Source organism: Homo sapiens, chromosome 16, assembly GCF_000001405.40.
Source record: "Homo sapiens chromosome 16, GRCh38.p14 Primary Assembly".
Classification (NCBI taxonomy): Eukaryota; Metazoa; Chordata; class Mammalia; order Primates; family Hominidae; genus Homo; species Homo sapiens.
Window position 1 is genome coordinate 15,678,487 of NC_000016.10, and position 19,189 is coordinate 15,697,675.

At 46.0% G+C, this 19,189-nt stretch overlaps 1 protein-coding gene across 23 annotated transcripts in view, besides 1 other annotated feature; it reads left to right on the top strand.

Annotated features, from left to right (window-relative positions):
- The window catches only part of NDE1 (nudE neurodevelopment protein 1), an 82,972-nt gene that overhangs the window by 35,105 nt on the left and 28,678 nt on the right, over window positions 1-19,189 (top strand). For 7 of the 23 annotated variants that reach the window (NM_001143979.2, XM_047434259.1, NM_017668.3 and 4 more), the window contains 4 exons: window positions 8,889-9,025; window positions 12,658-12,837; window positions 15,679-15,770; window positions 18,223-18,374. In NM_001143979.2, the coding sequence (NP_001137451.1) occupies window positions 8,889-9,025; window positions 12,658-12,837; window positions 15,679-15,770; window positions 18,223-18,374 (561 nt within the window). Of the gene's footprint in view, window positions 1-8,888; window positions 9,026-12,657; window positions 12,838-13,323; window positions 13,681-15,678; window positions 15,771-17,421; window positions 17,501-18,222; window positions 18,640-19,189 lie in introns of those variants that run through there. The other 16 variants (XM_047434261.1, XM_047434264.1, XM_017023354.3 and 13 more) reach the window with 8 other exon arrangements.
- Window positions 3,646-3,940: an enhancer, noted in NCBI's record as "tiled region #12074; HepG2 Activating DNase unmatched - State 25:Art, and K562 Activating DNase matched - State 5:Enh". NCBI's record gives its function as "activates a minimal TATA promoter and a strong SV40 promoter by Sharpr-MPRA in HepG2 and K562 cells {active_cell/tissue: HepG2 | K562}" and the evidence as "EXISTENCE:reporter gene assay evidence [ECO:0000049][PMID:27701403]".

Consider the following 19,189-nt stretch of genomic DNA (forward strand, 5'->3'; position numbering starts at 1 on the left):
CCTGAGTAGCTGGAATTACAGGCACGTGCCACCACACCATTCTAATTTTTGTATCTTTAGTAGGGATGGGCTCTTGCCATGTTGGCCAGGCTGGTCTCAAACTCCTTAGCCTCCAAAGTGCTGTGATTACAGGTGTGAGCCACTGCGCCCAGCCCAGTGATTCCTAAACTGATGTTCTGTGGTTTAGCAGAATGATAATGACTAACATTTACAGAAGAATTACTCTCAGCCAAGCAGTTTTTTTGGATAAGAACACTTGTTTTTAAAAAATTTATATATGAATTATATACAGTGAAATGCGCAGATGTGGCCAGGCACGGTGGCTCACGCCTGTAATCCCAGCACTTTTGGAGGCCGAGGTGGGCGGATCACGAGGTCAGGAGATCGAGACCATCCTGGCTAACATGGTGAAAACCCGTCTCTACTAAAAATACAAAAAATTAGCCGGGCGTGGTGGCGGGTGCCTGTAGTCCCAGCTAGTCGGGAGGCTGAGGCAGGAGAATGATGTGAACTGGGAAGGGCGGAGCGTGTAGTGAGCCGAGATTGCGCCACTGCACTCCAGCCTGGGTGACAGAGCTAGACTCTGTCTCAAAAACAAAACAAAACAAAAAACAACAAAAAAACAAAAAAAGCACAGATGTTTTTTCTTTTATTTATTTTTGGAAACAGGGTCTTGCTCTGTTACCCAGGCTGGAGGGCAGTGGTGCCACCATAGTGCATTGCAGCCTGAAACTTCTGGGAGCAAGTGATCCTCCTGCCTCAACCTCCCAAAGTTCTGGAATTACTGGCATGAGCCACTGCACCCGGCCTCCTCAGAGAGTTTTTTTTCTGCCTCATTCTTTTTCTCCTGTCCGTCTCGGACGCCATCTATACACATAACCTTTTTATATTGTCAGGCAGGTTCCTAAGGCTCTCTTCATTTTTCTTTTCCCTAATTATTTTTTTGTCTTTGTTCTTCAAATTGAATAATTTCTGTTTATCCAGTTTCAAGTTGATAGACGCCCTCTTCTCTCTCCAATCTGCCATTATAGCAGATGAAATATTGAATTTTCAATATATTGTATTTTTAGATGTAGGATTTGTGTTTGTTCTTTTATAATTTCTGTTCTATTGAGGTTTCTTGACATCCTTGAGCATAGTTGTAAGAGCTGCTTTGAGGTCCTTTTGTGCAGTTTTCAACATCTGGGTCACATTTTCTTTATACTCCACGCATTCAATAACTTTGGGGTTGTATTGTAGGCAGTGTGAGTGGTGTTTCCCACGTGGTGTTTCCCACAGACTATTAGTTGTTTTTTGTTTTTGTTTTTGTTTTAAGACAGTCTTGCTCTGTCGCCCAGGCTGGAGTGCAGTGGTGCGATCTCTGCTCACTGCAACTTCCACCTCCCAGATTCAAGTGATTCTCCTGCCTCAACCTCCGGAGTAGCTGGGATTACAGGTGTGTGTTACCACACCCGGCTAATTTTTGTATTTTTAGTAGAGATGGGATTTCACCATGTTGGCCAATCTGGTCTCATACTCCTGACCTGAGGTGATCTGCCTGCCTCGGTCTCCGAAAGTGCTGGGATTACGGGCTTGAGCCACCATACCCAGCCAGAGATGATGAATTCTTTTATGTTCTTGATTTATTTGGTTTTCTTAGGTGGTTTACTTGGCTGAGCTTACAGCCCAAATTCTGTCTCCCCTTTGATGGGCAGTAGCTGAAATCTCTTTGCTTTTTTTAGCCGTAACTGGGCTGCTTTGTGTCTGCTCTGTGCACGTGTGGTTTGGGGGAGGCCAGAGATGTGGGAAGATACTATATTCAGAATGTGGGGGGGCCCACGGTGATAGATTTCTATCCCTGGAGCTTTAGGCAAAAATCTTGTAAAGATGCAGACTTCACCCAGTCTTGTTCTGTTTTTCTAAGCGTTGTTTTCCAGTTCCTGCCAGTGCACTCAGATTATTGTTGTAAACATTTTACTTAGAATTTATACGAGGTTTGATCTGATACAGGTTTCCTGGTCATTACCAGAAGTGGAAATTCCTTTCTTGTCAATCTGTAGGAGTTCTTTGCATATATATATTTTTTGAGATGGAGTCTCGCTCTGTCTCCCAGGCTGGAGCTGGAGTTCAGTGGTGTGATCTCAGGTCACTGCAACCACTGCCTTCCTGCTTCAAGTGATTCTCCTGCCTCAGCCTCCCAAGTAGCTGGGATTACAGGCGCCCCCCACCACGCCTGGCTAATTTTTGTATTTTTAGCAGAGACGGAGTTTTGCGATGTTGGAGAGGCTGGTCTTGAACTCCTGACCTCAAGTGATCCACCTGCCTCAGATTCCCAAAGCTGGAATTACAGGCATGAACCACTGTGCCTGGCCCTTTGTATATTTTTACTACTAATCTTTTCTCCTGCATTGAAAATAATTTTTTCCGTGGTAATCTTTTGTTTGTTGACTTTGTCTATTGTATCATTTTCCATACAAATATTTCCTTTTTTCTCTTTTGAAAAAAAATTTTTTATACATGTATTTTTCATTTTTAGGTCATCAGTTACATCTTTTTTTAAATACCTTCTAGGTTTGCAGATTTCACTAGGGAAGTCTCCTTGGTTCTTGATTGTTCATGTGTTTTGTGTTTTTTTTGCAATATTTTTTAATTGTTTAATTTTTTTGTATCCTTATTCCTTAGTCTGCAATGAATTTATTTTTGTATCTAGTATAAGATACAAGTTCAATTTTATTTTTATTTTCTTTAGGTGGATAGCCCAGTTGTGCCAGCACTGTTAAACACTGCCTTTTTTTTTTTTTTTTTTTTTTTTTTTTTTGAGACTGGGCCTCGCTCCATTGCCCAGAGTAGAGTGCCATGGTGCAATTACAGCTCACTGGAGCCTTGACCTCCTGGGGCAAGTGATTCTCCCACCTCAGCCTCCTGAGTGTCTGGGACTATAGGCATGTGCCACTATACCTGGCTAATTTTTGTATTTTTTGTAGATACAGGGTTTTTCCATGTTGCCTAGGCTGGTCTCAAAGTCCTGGACTCGGTCTGTCCACCTTGGCCTCCCAAAGTGCTGGGATTATAGGCATGAGCCACCATACCCGGCCTTTGGCATATTTTAAAATTGGGTTGTTCGTTGTTTTTTTTCCCATGATTTCTAGGAGATTTTTATATATTTGTCTGTGACATGAATGGACAGTATTGGGAGTTTGTCATTTGTTTCCAGCTTTGTCTGATGTATATTTTATTGTACAGAGTTACTGATTTGTTTTGTTTTGAGTCAGAGTCTTGCCCTATGGCCCAGGCTGGAGTGCAGGTGCAGGATCTCGGCTAACTGCAACCTCCACCCTCCCAGGTTCAAGCTATTCTCCTGCCTCAGCCTCCCAAGTAGCTGGGATTACAGGCGCCCACTGCCACGCCTGGCTAATTTTTGTATTTTTAGCGGAGATGGGGTTTCACCATGTTGGCCAGGCTGGTATTTGATTTTTTTGTAGTCAGATTTCTTAGTCATAGTTAGAAGGGCCTTGTGCACTCCAAGGTTTATAAAGCAATTAGCCAAGTGTTTTCTTGTAGTATTTTTGTTTTTTCTTTCTTTTCTATTTTTATTTTTGTACTAAACGTGCATTGTTTTTGTTAATACAATTTGGCCAAATGCTGAATAGTTTAGTGTTAAAAATCGGATGAGGTAGAAGCCCAGTTCACCATTATAGAATCAATAAAGTTCTAGGTCACCAAAGTTTTATGTATTTATGTTTTGAGACAAGGTCTCTCTCTGTCGCCCCTGCTGGAGTGCAGTGGCACGATCACTTCAGCCTCCCCAGTAGCTGGGACTACAGTCATGTGCCACCATGACTCACTAATTTGTGTATTCTTTGTAAAGACCGGGTTTCTCCATGTTGCCTAGGCTCCAAAGCTTTATTTTAAAGACTTGAAAATGTTACAATTTTGTGCAAGTTTAATAGTTATATTTAGAACGTTTGACAGTCTTCTCCAAGAACAAGAGTTTCTCAGCACCATCAGCTGTTTGATTGCTCTCATGGTCCTTCTTCTATACGTCCCTCAAACGAAACTACTCACTTTTAACTGAGGACAGGCACTTTGTATAAGAATAACCTTGAAAAGTGTGCAGGACCTAATTGGAAGTAACTAAAAATTAAATACATTTCCTAAAGGTTACTTTGTTTCATATGAGTACTAAGATGCCAAAAAGTTTTACAAAAATTCAAATAGATTTAATCTAGTTTTACTCTTTTCATAAGTTTTTCATTTTATTTTATTTATTTATTTTTGAGACAGAGTCTTGCTCTGTAGCCCAGGCTGGAGTGCAGTGGTGCGATCTTAGCTCACTGCAGCCTCTGCCTCCCAGGTTCAAATGATTTTCCTGCCTCAGCCTCTCGAGTAGCTGGGACTACATTGCATGTGCCATTATGCCCAGCTAATTTTTCTATTTTTAGTAGAAATGGGGTCTCACCATGGTCCTGACCTCAAGCGATCCACCACCTCGGCCTCCCAAAGTGCTGGGATTATAGCCGTTAGCTCTCACACCCAGTCCAACTTACACATTTTTTTTTTTTAAAGAGATGGGGTCACACAGTGTTTCCCAGGCTGGTCTCAAACTCCTGGATTCAAACAATCTTCCCATCTCGGCTTGCCAAAGTGTTGGGATTACAAGCATGAGCCACTGTGCCCAGCCAATTCCATGGACTTTTAAAGCATTTTTTGGCTCAAAAAGGATATGTTCTTAGTTATCTAACCAGTATATCTCTTTATATTTACTGAAAATCTGTTTTCCTATTTAAGTATTTTCAGGTTCTCAATAACTGCACATGAAATTAACAGCTTTCATAGTCACAAATTATTGCAATATTTTGCTGTTATACTAAATATGGGTTTTTTTTGTTTGTTTTTAAGACAGAGTCTAGCTCTGTTACCCAGGCTGGAGTGCATTGGCACAATCTTGGCTCACTGCAAGCTCCGCCTCCCAGGTTCATGCCATTCTCCTGGCCTCAGCCTCCCGAGTACCTGGGACAACAGGCACCCGCTACCACGAACCGGCTAATTTTTTTGTATTTTTAGTAGAGATGGGGTTTCGCCATGTTAGCCAAGATGGTCTCGATCTCCTGACTTTGTGATCCACCCGCCTCAGCCTCCCAAAGTGCTGGGATTACAGGCACTAAATATGCTTTTATACATTAGTTGACAGAATTTCAACATATAAAATACATAAAGCAATTTTCACTCCAGTTACAACTAGCATGCTGACCTTTATTTCAAAGTAAATACGCTAGGTGAGATAGCTCATGCCTGTAATCTGTCATCTTAGTACTTGGGGAGGCTGAGGCTTGAGTATTGCTTGAGCCCAGGAGTTTGAGGACATCCTGGGCAACATAGTGAGACTCCCGTCTCTAGAAACAAATATAAAAACTAGCCGGCTATGGTAGCTTGTGCCTGTGGTCACAACTACTCGGGAGGTTGAGGTAAGAAGGTGAAAGAATCGCTGGGCGCATTGGCTCACGCCTGTAATCCCAGCACTTTGGGAGGCTGAGGTGGGCGGATCACCTGAGGTTAGGAGTTGGAGACCAGCCTGACAAAGATGGTGAAACCCTGTCTCTACTAAAAATGCAAAAATTAGCCAGGCATGGTGGCAGGCGCCTGTAATCCCAGTTACTTGACAGACTGAGGCAGGAGAATCGCTTGTACCCGAGAGGCGGAGGTTGCAGTGAGCTGAGATTGTGCTGTTGCGCTCCAGCCTGGGCAACAGAGTGAGACTTCATCTCAAAAAAGAAAAAAAAAGGTGAAAGGATGACTTAAACCCAGGGTGTCGAGGTTGCAGGGAAATTCAGAAATGCCACTGAAGGGCCAGGCATGGTGTCCAACACCTACAATCCCAGCACTTTGGGAGGCAGAAGCAGGTGCATCACCTGAAGTCGGGAGTTCGAGACCAGCGTGGCCAACATGGTGGAATGCTGTCTCTACTAAAAATACAAAAATTAGCAGGATGTGGTGGTGCGTGCCTGTAATCCCAGCTACTTGGGAGGCTGAGACAGAAGAATCATTTGAACCCCGGAGGCAGAGGTTGCACTCCGCCTGGGTGACAAGAGTGGAACTCCATCTTAAAAAAAAAAAAAAAAAAGGCACTGAAGCTGGTCCCCAGTTCCCTAGCATTCCAGAAGCAAAATAGATTTTGACCAAATAAGGAGTTTGTTAAAATTTCCGATTCAGTCGGAGTTTGTGTTAGGGTACAGTATGAGGTACGAATCTAATAATTTTTTCCTGGTGGGTACCCAGTGGTCCCTAAAACTAGAACTGAACCTGCCATCTTTTTACCAATGATCTGTGATGCCACCTTTATTATAAATTAAACTCTTGTCTATTTCTGGACCTTTGGTTCCTTTGTTCTTACAACCAGTAGCATACTATTCTTCATTGTTGAGGCTTTATAGTAGTGCGTTCTGACTCTCTGGTAGAGCTAGTTCCCTGATCTCTTTTACAGAGTTCCTCTGATCATTCTTGTTTCATTGTCACAGGATCTTTCAAATCAGTCCAGTTTATTCCCCCAGTAGAAACGTATTAAGACAGTGTTAAATTTATCAGTTTAACTTGTGGAGAATTAATTTCTGCATGATAATGGGTCTTCCTCTTTATATACTCAGTATGTCTGCATTTCTGCAAGCATTCTGTACTACTCTACATATTATTATGTGAATATTTTATCTTTGATATGTCAACCTTAGGGCTGTTTTAACTGTTTCTGGTATTGTACTCCGAAGTATTATCCCTTTGTTGTTGGTAGTAGTGTGTTTTTTGTTTTTGTTTTTCGAGACAGGGTCTGGCATTGTTACCCAGGCTGGAGTGCAGTGGCATAGTCATGGCTTACTGTACCCTTGAATTCCTGGGCTCAAGCAGTCCTCCTACCTCAGCCTCCGAGTAGCTGGGACTACAGGCACGCATCATGCACGGCTAATTTTTTTACTTTTTGTAGAGACAGGGTCTCTCTATATTACCCAGGCTGGTCTTGAACCCTGGGCCTCAAGCGGTCCTCACACCTTGGCCTCCCAAAGTGCTGGGATTATAGGCATGAACCACTGTGCTTGTCCCTTTGTTGTTTTTAATCGGTACTGTGGTAACTTTATCCTATCCACTACTTCTAAAGACCCTGTGAGGGTAGGTACTTGTATGACTCCATCTAGACATAGTAGGATATGTTGAATAAATGAACTGATGCAGCCATTAATCAGTGCAGTTATTAATTTGGTGATTGAAGGAACTGAGGATGAAGGAGATCAAGTTCCGCAATGATACTCAGTGAGTTCTAGGTGGAGGAGGAGCTGGGTGTTAACTCCTGGGTTCCTCTCCAAACACGTGCTTCTGACCACTGTGGGATACAGTTAGCAGGTTGTGTAAGGTCTGGGGACAGACACAGGGTCAATAATAAAAATTGCTGAAAATTTATAGATGTGTGCTTATGTGTAAAACATCTGTTGTGTGCTTCCTGTAGGATTTTTTTTTTTTTTTTGGGAAACATTCTTACTCTGTTGCCCAAGCTGGAGTGCAGTGGCATGATCTTGGCTCACTGCAACATTCACCTTCTGGGTTCAAGCGATTCTCCTGTCTCACCCTCCCGAGCAGCTGGGACTACATGTGTGCACCATCATGCCCGGCTAATTTTTGTATTTTTAGTAGAGATGAGGTTTCACCATGTCGGCCAGGCTGGTCTCGAACTCCTGACCTCAAGTGATCCGCCCGCCTCGGCCTCCCAAAGTGCTGGGATTACAGGCGTGAGCCACCGTGTCCGGGCCTGTATGACTTCTTGCCACCCCTTCCCCACCACAATCCTGCATGAAGGTTACTATTACTATCCTTGTTTTGCATGAGAGAAAACTGAGGTGCAGAGAAGGTGGTTTTCCCAGAATTATAACAGATTGTTTTCTTACAGCACTTGGCAGTGCCTTTACCACAGTGTTTATGCCCTTCACAAGAAGGGGTTGTGAGCAGGGCAGCTGGGCTGGTACTGGGCATTTTGAACTTCCACTGAGAGGTTAAATATGATCTCTTCCACCTGCTTAAGTGCATCTTATGCCTGGCACAATGCCTCATGCCTGTAATCTCAGTAACTCAGGAGGCTGAGGCGGGAGGATCTCTTGAGCCCAAGAGTTTGAGATTGCAGTGAGCTGTGATTGTACCACTGCACTTCGGCCTGAGAGACACAGCAAAAACCTGTGTCTTAAAAAATCATGTTGTTATATGTGTTTATTAGGTTATTATTATTTTGAGATGGAGTCTCACTTTGTTGTCTAGGCTGGAGTGCAGTGGTATAATCTGGGCTCACTACAACCTCTGCTTCCTGGCAGTTCTCCCACCTCAGCCTCCCAAGTAGCTGGGATTACACTACAACTGGCTAATTTTTGTATTTCTAGTAGAGACAGGATTTTGCCATTTGCCCAAGCTTGCCAGGCTGGTCTTGAACTCCTGATCTCAGGTCTTCCACCTGCCTCGGCCTCCCAAAGGGCTGGGATTACAGGCATGAGCCACCTTGCCCAGTCATATTAGGTTATTTTTAATGCTGGTTGGCATTGTGAGCTTGCAAGAGAAGATGGAGCATAGTGGTCTTCTCAAACCACCAAATGCCACATGCAGTCCTGATAGGGCTTTGGCTTATTGCTGAGTGCTGTGTGGGCAGCATCTTATTTAATCCTCATGACAGCCTCGTGCACCCCATGAGCTATGATGAGTCCCATTCTGCAGGTAAAGAGCCCATGCCCCAGAAGGTTAAGGGACTTGGCCCACTCTGTGGCATCTAGGAAGTTTGGGGCTGGGACTTGTGCCCAGGTGTGTCTGACCCTTCGCACCTCCTGGATCCGCGGTGCTGGAGGGATGCTGCGGTTTGTCCTCTTGGATAACTCTGCTTTTCTCTTCGCCAGCGCCACGATCATGTCTCTCGAAGACTTTGAGCAGCGCTTGAATCAGGCCATCGAAAGAAATGCCTTCCTGGAAAGTGAACTTGATGAAAAAGAGAATCTCCTGGAATCTGTTCAGAGACTGAAGGATGAAGCCAGAGGTCAGGAGGCCTTGGTGTCTTCACCAGCATGGTCCCCTCTCCCTACCTGAGCAACATCTTGTCCCACAAGCTCTCCCAGCATTATCTTTACAGGGACCCCACACCCTGCTCTGCACCCAGGTTGTCTAATCAGAGGGTGTCGGACTGCACTGGGCAGACTCTTGCCTTGGGCCCTGGCTGGAGCTGAGAACAGTCAGACATCCAGCCCTGTAAGGGCCCCTTATGGGTATTTAGAGAAATAGCTTTGGGGTTCACAGATGAAGTCCTTGTATTGGGATTCTGCCTCTGGGCAGCAGAATTTATTTCCAGAAAGATGCTTCCTGGTCTGTAATTCACAAACACAGCAAACTACCCTGATGCTCAGTAGGAACAGAGAGTTTTGTGGGGAGATCTGGCACAGTGGCTCACACCTGTAATCCCAGCACTTTGGGAGGCCGAGGATCTCTTGAGCCCAGGAGTTTGAGACCAGCCTGGGCAGCATAGTGGGACTCCATCTTTACAAAAACATTTAAAGATTAGCTGGGTGTGATGGCATGTGCCTGTAGTCCCAGCTACTCAGGAAGCCAAGGTGGGATGATTGCTTCAGCCCAGGAGGTGGAGTATGCAGTGAGCTATGATGGCACCAGTGCACTCCAGCCTGGGTGACAGAGTGAGACCCTGTCTCTTAAGAAGCAAAGATGTTGTGGGGAGAAATTTCTGGTGGAATTGCCAGCTAGCCTATTATTTTTGTGACTTGATGGCAACCAATATATTTGGCTAAAACTTTGAAACCTCATCAGCATTTGCTCTTTTTCAGTTGGCACTTCCAGAGGTAGAATGTTGAAACTGTAATGAGGCATTTGGCCAGGCACAGTGGTTCACACCTGTAATCCCAGCACTTTGGGAGGCTGAGGCAGGTGGATCACCTGAGCTCAGGAGTTTGAGACCAGCCTGGACAACATAGAGAAACCCCATCTCTACTAAAAATAGAAAACATGAGGGTATGGTGGTGGGTGCCTGCAATCCCAGCTGCTCAGGAGGCTGAGGCACGAGAATTGCTTGAACCTGGGAGGTGGAGGTTGTAGTGAGCCAAAATTACACCATTGCACTCCAGCCTGGGTGACAGAGTGAGACTCTTGTCTCAAAAAAAAAAAAAAAAAAAAGACATTCATTAGTGGATTGTCCAAGTTGTTTTTACCTTTTTTTTTTTTTTTTTTTTTTTTTTTGAGATGGCGTCTTGCTCTGTTGTCCAGGCTGGAGTGCAGTGGTGCTATCTCTGCTCACTGCAACCTCTGCCTCCCAGGTTCAGCGATTCCCCTGCTTCAGCCTCCTGAGTAGCTGGGACTGCAGGTGTGCACCACCATGCCTGGCTAATTTTTATATTTTTAATAGAGATGGGGTTTCACCATGTTGGCCAGGCTGGTCTTGAACTCCTGACCCCAGGCGATCTGCCTGCCTCGGCCTCCCAAAGTGCTGGGATTATAGGGGTGGGTCACTGTTGCTGGCCCAATTAATTATTTATAACGTCGATTTGCTTTCTAATGTGTAACCAGTAGGTGGGGGATAAAAAGTAAAAATTCTTAAGTTTAATAAAGTAGTTGTTCCTAGATGTCCATCAGTAATGAAGTGGTTAAATGAAGTACATAGATGTATTTTGTGAAATGTTAATGGTTAAAATGAACAGTAGATAGAAATGTTGTGGTAGAAAGATTGCCAAGGCTAGGCACAGTGGCTGATGCCTGTAATCTCAGTGCTTTGAGAGACGGACGCAAGAGGATTGCTTGAGCCTAGGAGTTCAAGATGAGCCTGGACAACATAGTGATACCCCATCTCTACAAAAATGAAAATTGTAAAAATTAGGCCTGGTGGCATATGTCTGTAGTTCCAGCTACTTAGGAGGCTGAAGTGGGAGGATGACTTGAGCCCAGGAGTTCAAGGTTACATTGAGCTATGATTGTGCCACCGCACCCCAGCCTGGGTGACTGAGTCAGACCCTGTCTCTAAAACAAAAATCATTGCCAAGACATACCACTGAAGTGGGGAGAGTAAGTCATACACAGGACAACATATTGTATGTTTCCAGTAATGCTTAATAAAAAATTTTCTTGTTTTATGCTCAGTAGATACATACATATGTATAAAGTTTATGTTTGAAAATGGAGAGAACAGCTGGGCGCAGTGGCTCACGCCTGTATTCCCAGCACTTTGGGAGGCCAAGGTGGGTGGATCACCTGAGGTCAGGAGTTAGAGTCCAGCCTGGACAACATGGTGAAACCCTGTGTCTACTAAAAATACAAAAATTAGCCAGGTGTGGTGGTGCGTGCCTGTAATCCCAGCTACTTGGGAGGCTGAGGCAGGAGAATCACTTGAACCCGGGAGGCAGATTTACAGTGAGCCGAGACTGTGCCACTGCACTTAAGCCCGGGCAAGAGAGTGAAACTCCATCTCAAAAAAAAAAAAAAAAAAAAATTCAGAGAACAATGGTTGAAAAGCTCTCCCACATGTTATGGTGATGATGAGTGAGGAGGAGCATTTGGGGATAGTCTGGAAAGCATACTTTATTTATTTTTGAGACAGTCTTGCTCTGTCACACAGGCTGGAGTGCAGTGGCGTGATCTCAGCTCACTGCACTCACTGCTTGTCCCCCAGGCTCAAGCGATTGTCTTGCCTCAGCCTCCCAAGCAGCTGGGACTACAGGCGCTCACCACCACGCATGGCTAATTTTTTGTATTTTTAATAGAGACGGGGTTTTGCCATGTTGGCCTGAAAATTCCTGACCTCAAGCAATCCTCCCATCTCGACCTCTCAGAGTGCTGGGATTATAGGCTTGAGCCAGTGCAACTGGCCTTTTTTTTTTTTTTTCTTTTTTTTTTTTTTTTTTTTTTTTTTTTGAGCCAGAGGTCTCACTCTCGCCCAGGCTGAAGTGGTATGATCATGGCTTACTGCAGCCTCGACTTACTGGATTAATGTGATTCTTACACCTCAGCCTCCCAAAGTGCTGGGATTACAGGCATGAGTCACTGCTCCCGGGCATATTTTCATTTAGTGTTCTAAATACACTGCTATGTTGGAATTGTTTTTTCAATAATAAAAGCATTAGTGTGTCACTGTCATAGCTTTTTAAAAATCTGAAACCATTTTGTTAGTCAAGAGAAACATCCTGTAGAGTTCCAAGTCTGCTAGGCAAGGTCCTGTGGGTTTCCCTTTATTTGGGGTTTCTACCTGGAGTGTTTCACCCCAGTAGGTCTTTTTTCTGACTGGTATCTACTGTTGAACCTCTCTCCCTGCACCCCACCAACCCTAAGCAAGGACTTAAATTCCCTTTTTGTTTTTTGAGACGTAGTCTTGCTCTTGTCACCCAGACTGGAGTGCGCTGGAGCAATCTCAGCTCACTGCCACCCTGGCCTCCCAGGTTCAAATGATTCTCATGCCTCATCCTCCTGAGTAGCTGAGATTACAGGTGCCTACTACCATGCTGGGCTAATTTTTGTATTTTCAATAGAGATGAGGTTTCACCATGTTGGTCAGGCTGGTCTCGAACTCCTGACCTCAGGCGATCCACCTGCCTTGGCCTCCCAAAGTGCTGGCATTATAAACATGAGCCACTGCGCCTGGCTGAGGACTTGAATTCCTGAATCCTTTTTCTGGCACAGATTTGCGGCAGGAACTGGCCGTGCAGCAGAAGCAGGAGAAACCCAGGACCCCCATGCCCAGCTCAGTGGAAGCTGAGAGGACAGACACAGCTGTGCAGGCCACGGGCTCCGTGCCGTCCACGCCCATTGCTCACCGAGGACCCAGCTCAAGTTTAAACACACCTGGGAGCTTCAGACGTGGTAAGGGGAGTGGGAATTGCAGGATTTTCTCGGTTCACAAAGTGTTTCTGGGTAAGAATCTGGGGTGGGTCCTGGGGGTGTGATGATTTGCATCAGGCTCAGAGCCTGATTTGCTCTCAGGCTTTGAGCAGAGAGTAGACTGGGATGTTCTTGGGGATGGGCATTGAGATCAGTGAGGACTGGGTAAGAGGCAGTAGTGGAGTCTGATGAAATGGAAACCCCACCCAGAGCGGGTGGCTGCCACTCTGCAGCTACGAGGATTGGCCCTTCATCTGCAGCTTTTTCCATTCTTCAAAGCCAGAAATCCTCTTTTTTTTTGTTGGGTTTTTTTTTTTGAGACAGGATCTCACTCTGTTGCCCAGGCTGGAGTGTAGTGACGTGATCTTGGCTCACTGCAACCTCTTCATCGTGGGCTCAAGTGATTCTCCCACCTCATCCTCCGGAGTAGCTGGGACTAAAGGCACCTGGCTAACTTTTGTATTTTAGGTGGAGACACAGTCTTGCCATGTCGCCCAGGCTGGTATCAAATTCCTGGACTCAAGTGATCCGCCCACCTCGGCTGATCCCAAAGTGCTGGGATTACAGGTGTGAGCCACCGCGCCTGGTCAAAAATCCTCTTGTTGAATATAAAACCTCCCAAATTTGAAATGTCACTGACCAAATACAAAAAAGTAAAAAGCGTTCTGTGGGTTTAGTAATACATCCACCGAGAGCTAGACTCAGCGTAACGTGTGCTGCATGGGCAGAAAAAAAGAATCTCAGTTCTCACCCCAGCCCCTCTGCTGACAGCTTCCGATCAGGCCTTTTACAGCAGATATTAATAACAGACAGTTAAGGAGTGCTCAGTGTGTGCTGGCCAGCCTGCAGCCTTCGCCGCAGGCCCAGGATGCAGGTGCTGTCCCCGTTTGATGAAAGTGAGGCTCTGAGTTAAGCAGAGTCATGAAGCAATTGAATGGCAGATGGTTTGGGATTCAGACCCAGGCAGGCAGGCTCCAGGGCTTACCCTACCATCTACTACCTTATCCCTTAGCTTGTCCCCTGGGCATGAAGAGACCAGTGAGACTTCTAGAATTCCGGTGCAGAGCCCTTCTGTTTAGTTTTGTTGAGATGGAGTTTTGCTCTGTTGCCCAGGCTGGAGTGCAATGGTGCGATATTGGCTCGCTGTAACCCCCTCCTCCCAGGTTCAAGTGATTCTCCTGCCTCAGCCTCCTGAGTAAGCTTGAATTACAGGTGCCCACCACCATGCCTGGCTAATCTTGTATTTTTAGTAGAGATGGGGTTTCACCATGTTGGCCGGGCTGGTCTCAAACTACTGACCTCAGGTGATCTGCCTGCCTCAGCCCCTGAAAGTGGTGGTATTACATGTATGAGTCACTGTGCCTAGCCCCAGTCTAGAGCCATTTTGCATACTTTATTTCATTGTTGTTTTTAGAGACACAGTCTTGGTCTGTGGCCCAGGCTGGAGTGCAGTGGTGCAATCATAGCTCACTGCAGCCTCCAACTCCTGGGCTCCAGTGATCCTCCTGCCTCAGCCTCCTGAGTAGCTGGGACTAGAGGCATGCAACTCCATGCCTGGCTATGTTTCCACACTTCAATATGCATGTAGCTTACCTGGGGATCTTGGTAGAATGTACCTCAGATCAAGTGGGTCTTGGGTGGGGCCTGAAATTTCTTTCTCTCTTTTTTTTTTTTTTTGAGACAAAGTCTTGCTCTGTCGGCCAGGCTGGAGTGCAGCGGCATTGATCTTGGCTCACTGCAGCCTCTGCCTCCTGGATTCAAGCGATTCTCATGCCTCAGCCTCCCGAGTAGCTGGGATTACAGGCAGGCACCTGTTACCATGCCCAGCTAATTTTGTATTTTTAGTAGAAACAAGATTTTGCCATGTTGGCCAGGCTGGTCTTGAACTCCTGACCTCAACTGATCGAACTGCCTCGGCCTCTGAAAGCACTGGGATTACAGGTGTGAGCTACTGTGCCTGGCCGAGAGATTCTGCATTTCTAACAGTTCTCATGTGCTGCTGGTGCATGGACCCCACTTGGAGAAGAGAGGCTCTGCAGAGCGGGACCCTTGTAAAGCTGGATCATCCTGTCTATAGTTCTTGTATCTATCACAGATGCCATTATGTTAATTAACTATATGGATTTTCTACAATTTCAAAAGGATTTGTTTTGGGTTTGTTTAAAAAGACTAATGTGGCTGGGCACGGTGGCTCATGCCTGTAAATACCAGCCCTTTGGGCGGCCAAGGTGGGAGGATCGCTTGAAACTAGGAGTTCATGATCAGCCTGGGCAACATAGTGAGACCCTGTCTCTATTAAAAAAAAAATTTGTTAAAGGCCAGGCATGGTGGCTCACGCCCGTAATCCCAGCACTTTTGGAGGCCAAGGCGGGCAGATCATTTGAGGTCAAGAGTTCGAGACCAGCCTGGACAACGTGATGGAACTCTGTCTCTACTAAAAATACAAAAATTAGCCGGGTGTGGTGGCACATGGCTATAATCCCAGCTACTCAAGAGGCCAAGGCAGGAGAATCGCTTGAACCTGGGAGGCGGAGGTTGCAGTGAGCTGAGATCACATCACCGCACTCCAGTCCGGGTGACAGAGCAAGACTAACATGTAAAAATAAGTATTTGTTGCAGTCATCACAAGGACTTGAAAAATTGGTTGTCATACGGGCCTTGGGTGTGTGATGCGGTTAACTACGGAAAGAAATAGGGTAGCTTTTGGGATCCGAGGAAAGGCGTCAGTGTCCCTCCTGTCCCGTGGTTTTGGATCTAGCGATGTTAACGCACAGACATGACTATAGGTTGGTGAGTTACATGCTCTTCCCTTTGCACACCCAGGCCTGGACGACTCCACCGGGGGGACCCCCCTCACACCTGCGGCCCGGATATCAGCCCTCAACATTGTGGGAGACCTACTGCGGAAAGTCGGGGTAAGACCACACTTTCCTGGCGTTTGGTGCCTTCCTGCCTGTCTTTCAGGATGTGTGAAGGGGGTTGATCTAGTTCCTTCCCTCTCTTCTTTTTTTCTTTTTTTTTAGAGACAGGGTCTTGCTCTGTTGCTCAGGCTGGAGTGTAGTGGTATGATCACAACTCACTGCAGCCTCAAAATCCTGGGTTCAAGCGATCCTCTCACCTTAGCTTCCCGAGGAGCTTGGACCACAGGTGTGCGCCACTATGCCTGGCTGATACTTTCATTTTTTTGTAGTAATGTGGGTATCGCTGTGTTGCCCAGGCTGGTCTTAAACTCCTGGCCTCAAGTGATCCTCCCAGGTTGGCCTCCCAAAGTTCTGGGATTACAGGCATGAGCCAATGCGTCCAGCCCCTTTCATAGCAGTGTGGTGAGTTTTAGGTGTGGCTGCTCCTTTAGCATCCCTGGGAATCATTAGAGCTTCCTGTGGGAGTTACTGCCAGACACTCAGAGCTCTGACTCGAAGCCCTGCTCTGAACCCTATGTATGTCTCTTTCCTTTTACCGTTTTTCCTCTAGGAAATTTGGGAAATTAGGGTGATATGTGTGTTTTTTCCTTAACTCGAAAAATTAAGGAGCACTTGGAAACTGCCTTCTCTTTTGGCCGGGTGCTCATACCTGTAATCCCAGTGCTTTGGGAGGCCAAGGTGGGAGATTACTTGAGCTCAGGAGTCTGACACCAGCCCGGGCAACATGGTGAAACCCCCTGCCCCGACTTGGCCTCTACAAGAATGCAAAAATTAGCCAGGCCTGATGGTGTACACTGGTGGTCCCAGCTACTCAGGAGGCTGAGAGGTGGGAGGATTGCTTCAGCCTGGGAGGTTGAGGCTGAGTGAGCTGAGATTCCAACACTGCACTCCATCCTGGGTGACAGCACGACGTTGTCTCAGAAGAGAAAAAAACTGCCACCTTTTTTTTTTTTTTTTTTTTTTTTGGTTTGTTTCTTGGGGTTTAAGTGAATTTTGACACTTTGGGAGACCGAGATGGGTGGATCACCTGAAGTCAGGAATTCAAGACCAGCCTGGCCAACATGGTGAAACCCCATCTCTACTAAAAATACAAAAATTAGCCAGGAATGGTGGTGGGCACCTGCGATCCCAGCTACTTGAGAGGCTTATGCAGGAAAATTGTTTGAATCCGGGAGGCGGAGGTTGCAGTGAGCTGAGATCGCACCGCTGGGTGACAAAGTGAGACTTGGTCTCAAAAAAAAAAAAAAAAAAAATCTTGAAAGCCTAGGGCAAAGAATTTGGCCTTTCAGCTTTTATGTTAATTACAGGGAGGGATCCTTTTGTGCTTAAGTAAAAACATAGGTATTCTTTGTAGTTTATTTTTAAAAATGATGCCTAGAAGGCCACATAATTTAACTCCTACCAAGTTGTCACTGTACACAGTGTATTTGTAGCTACAACTTAATAGAAGCTTGCAACTCATTTCTTTTGTTTTTACTTCTGGTTTTTGGCTGTCTGGTTTGCTATTCTAGAAGCAGGTCTGCATTTCAGTATTTAGCCTAGTTGGAGTATAGAGAAGCCTGGGGTGCTGTCAGTGTCCTTTTGGTTTCCTCAGGGTCTGTTGTAGCCAGACCAAGTCCTTACCAAACTTCTTGCCATTCTGCAGAGGTTTAACAAGGTAAACCAAAGGGTGAAGGATTCCAGAAGTGGATTTCCTACTTCCTACAAGCGGAGTTGGATAATTGGTAGGTTAGTGATTTTTCCAGAAAGCTCCCATTTTAAAAAATTTTTTGTAATTAAAAAAGAATTTTTTTTTTTTTTTTAAGCCAAGCATGATTGTGCATAGTCCTAGCTATTCAGGAGGCTGAGGTGGAAGGATTGGTTGAGGCTGCAGTGAGCCGTGATCTTTTTCCAGGCAGCTCCCAAACATTTTAAAAAATTTTTCGTAATTAAAAAAAATTTTTTGCATTAAAAATTTTTTTTATTAACTGGGCATGATTGCGGATGCCTATAATTCCAGCTGCTCAGGAGGCTGAGGTGGGAGGGATTGGTTGAGCCTGGGAGGTTGAGGCTGCAGTGAGCTGTGATCTCACCAGTGCACTCCAGCCTGGGTGACACAGCGTCTAAAAAAGTAAAAAACAAAACAAAAAAAAAAACTGAGATGGGATCTTACTTTGTGGCCCAGGCTGGTCTCAAACTCCTGATGTCAAGCCATCCTCCTGCCTTGGCCTCCCAGAGTGCTGGGATTATAGGTGTGAGCCATTGTGCCCAGCCAGCTCCCAAATACTTAAGGTGCTTGGTTCTGAGACTGGCATATACGTTGGATTCCTCTTGGGGTCCCACCTTGGAATTCCAGTGCACAACAGTTTGAGAACCACTGTCTGGGGTTCGTTCTTCTGTACAGGCTCTGGTAAGACAGAATAGTCCTTGCCTATAACTTGAGAGATAAAAGTGTATTTCTGTCCAGGCACTGGAGTCCAAACTCGCTTCCTGCCGGAACCTCGTGTACGATCAGTCCCCAAACCGAACAGGTGGCCCAGCCTCTGGGCGGAGCAGCAAGAACAGAGATGGCGGGGAGAGACGGCCAAGCAGCACCAGCGTGCCTTTGGGTGATAAGGGGTCAGTACCTTCTAATAAACCTCTCGCTGGCGGGGAGAACCCGCCTGCCCCAGGCAAGAGACACTCACCCCCAGCCCACAGCCATGTGTCTTTTTAAATTATAGGATTATTTCAGCAAACCTTATCCTCTCCTCTGCTCCCTGCAGGCAGCATTAGGTGGTGTCTTGTGGCTTGAACAAAGGGCTAGAGAGAGGGTCTTGTTTTGTGAGACAGGGTCTCACTCTGTCACCTAGGCTAGAATACGATGGCAGGATCATGGCTCACCCTCTGCCTCCCAGCTCAAACGATCCTCCCACCTCAGTCCCCCGAGTAGCTGGGAGTACAGGTGCGTGTCACCGTGCTCGGCTAATTTTTTGTATTTTTTCTAGAGACAGGTTTTGCCATGTTGCCGAGTTTGGTCTCAAACTCTGAGCTTCAAGTGATCCTCACCCTTCATCCTCCCAAAGTGCTGCGACGACAGGTGTGGGCTACCATGCCTGGCCAAGAAGGTCATTTTTATCATTTGATTCTACAGCTGCTACTCACGGTTACACTGTGAGAATGTCCTGTATAAAAGCCCTTATTTGGGCCAGGTGTGGTGACGCTCGCCTGTAATCCCAGCAGTCTGGGAGGCCAAGGCAGGTGGATCACTTGAGGTCAGGAGTTCAAAACCAGTCTGGGCAACATTGGTAAAACCCCATCTCCACCAAAAAAAATAGAAAAATGAGCCAGGCATGGTAGCATGTGCCTATAGTCCCAGCTACTCAGGAGGCTGAGGAAGGAGAATCACTTGAACCCTGGAGGCAGAGATTGCAGTGAGCCAAAATTGTGCCTCT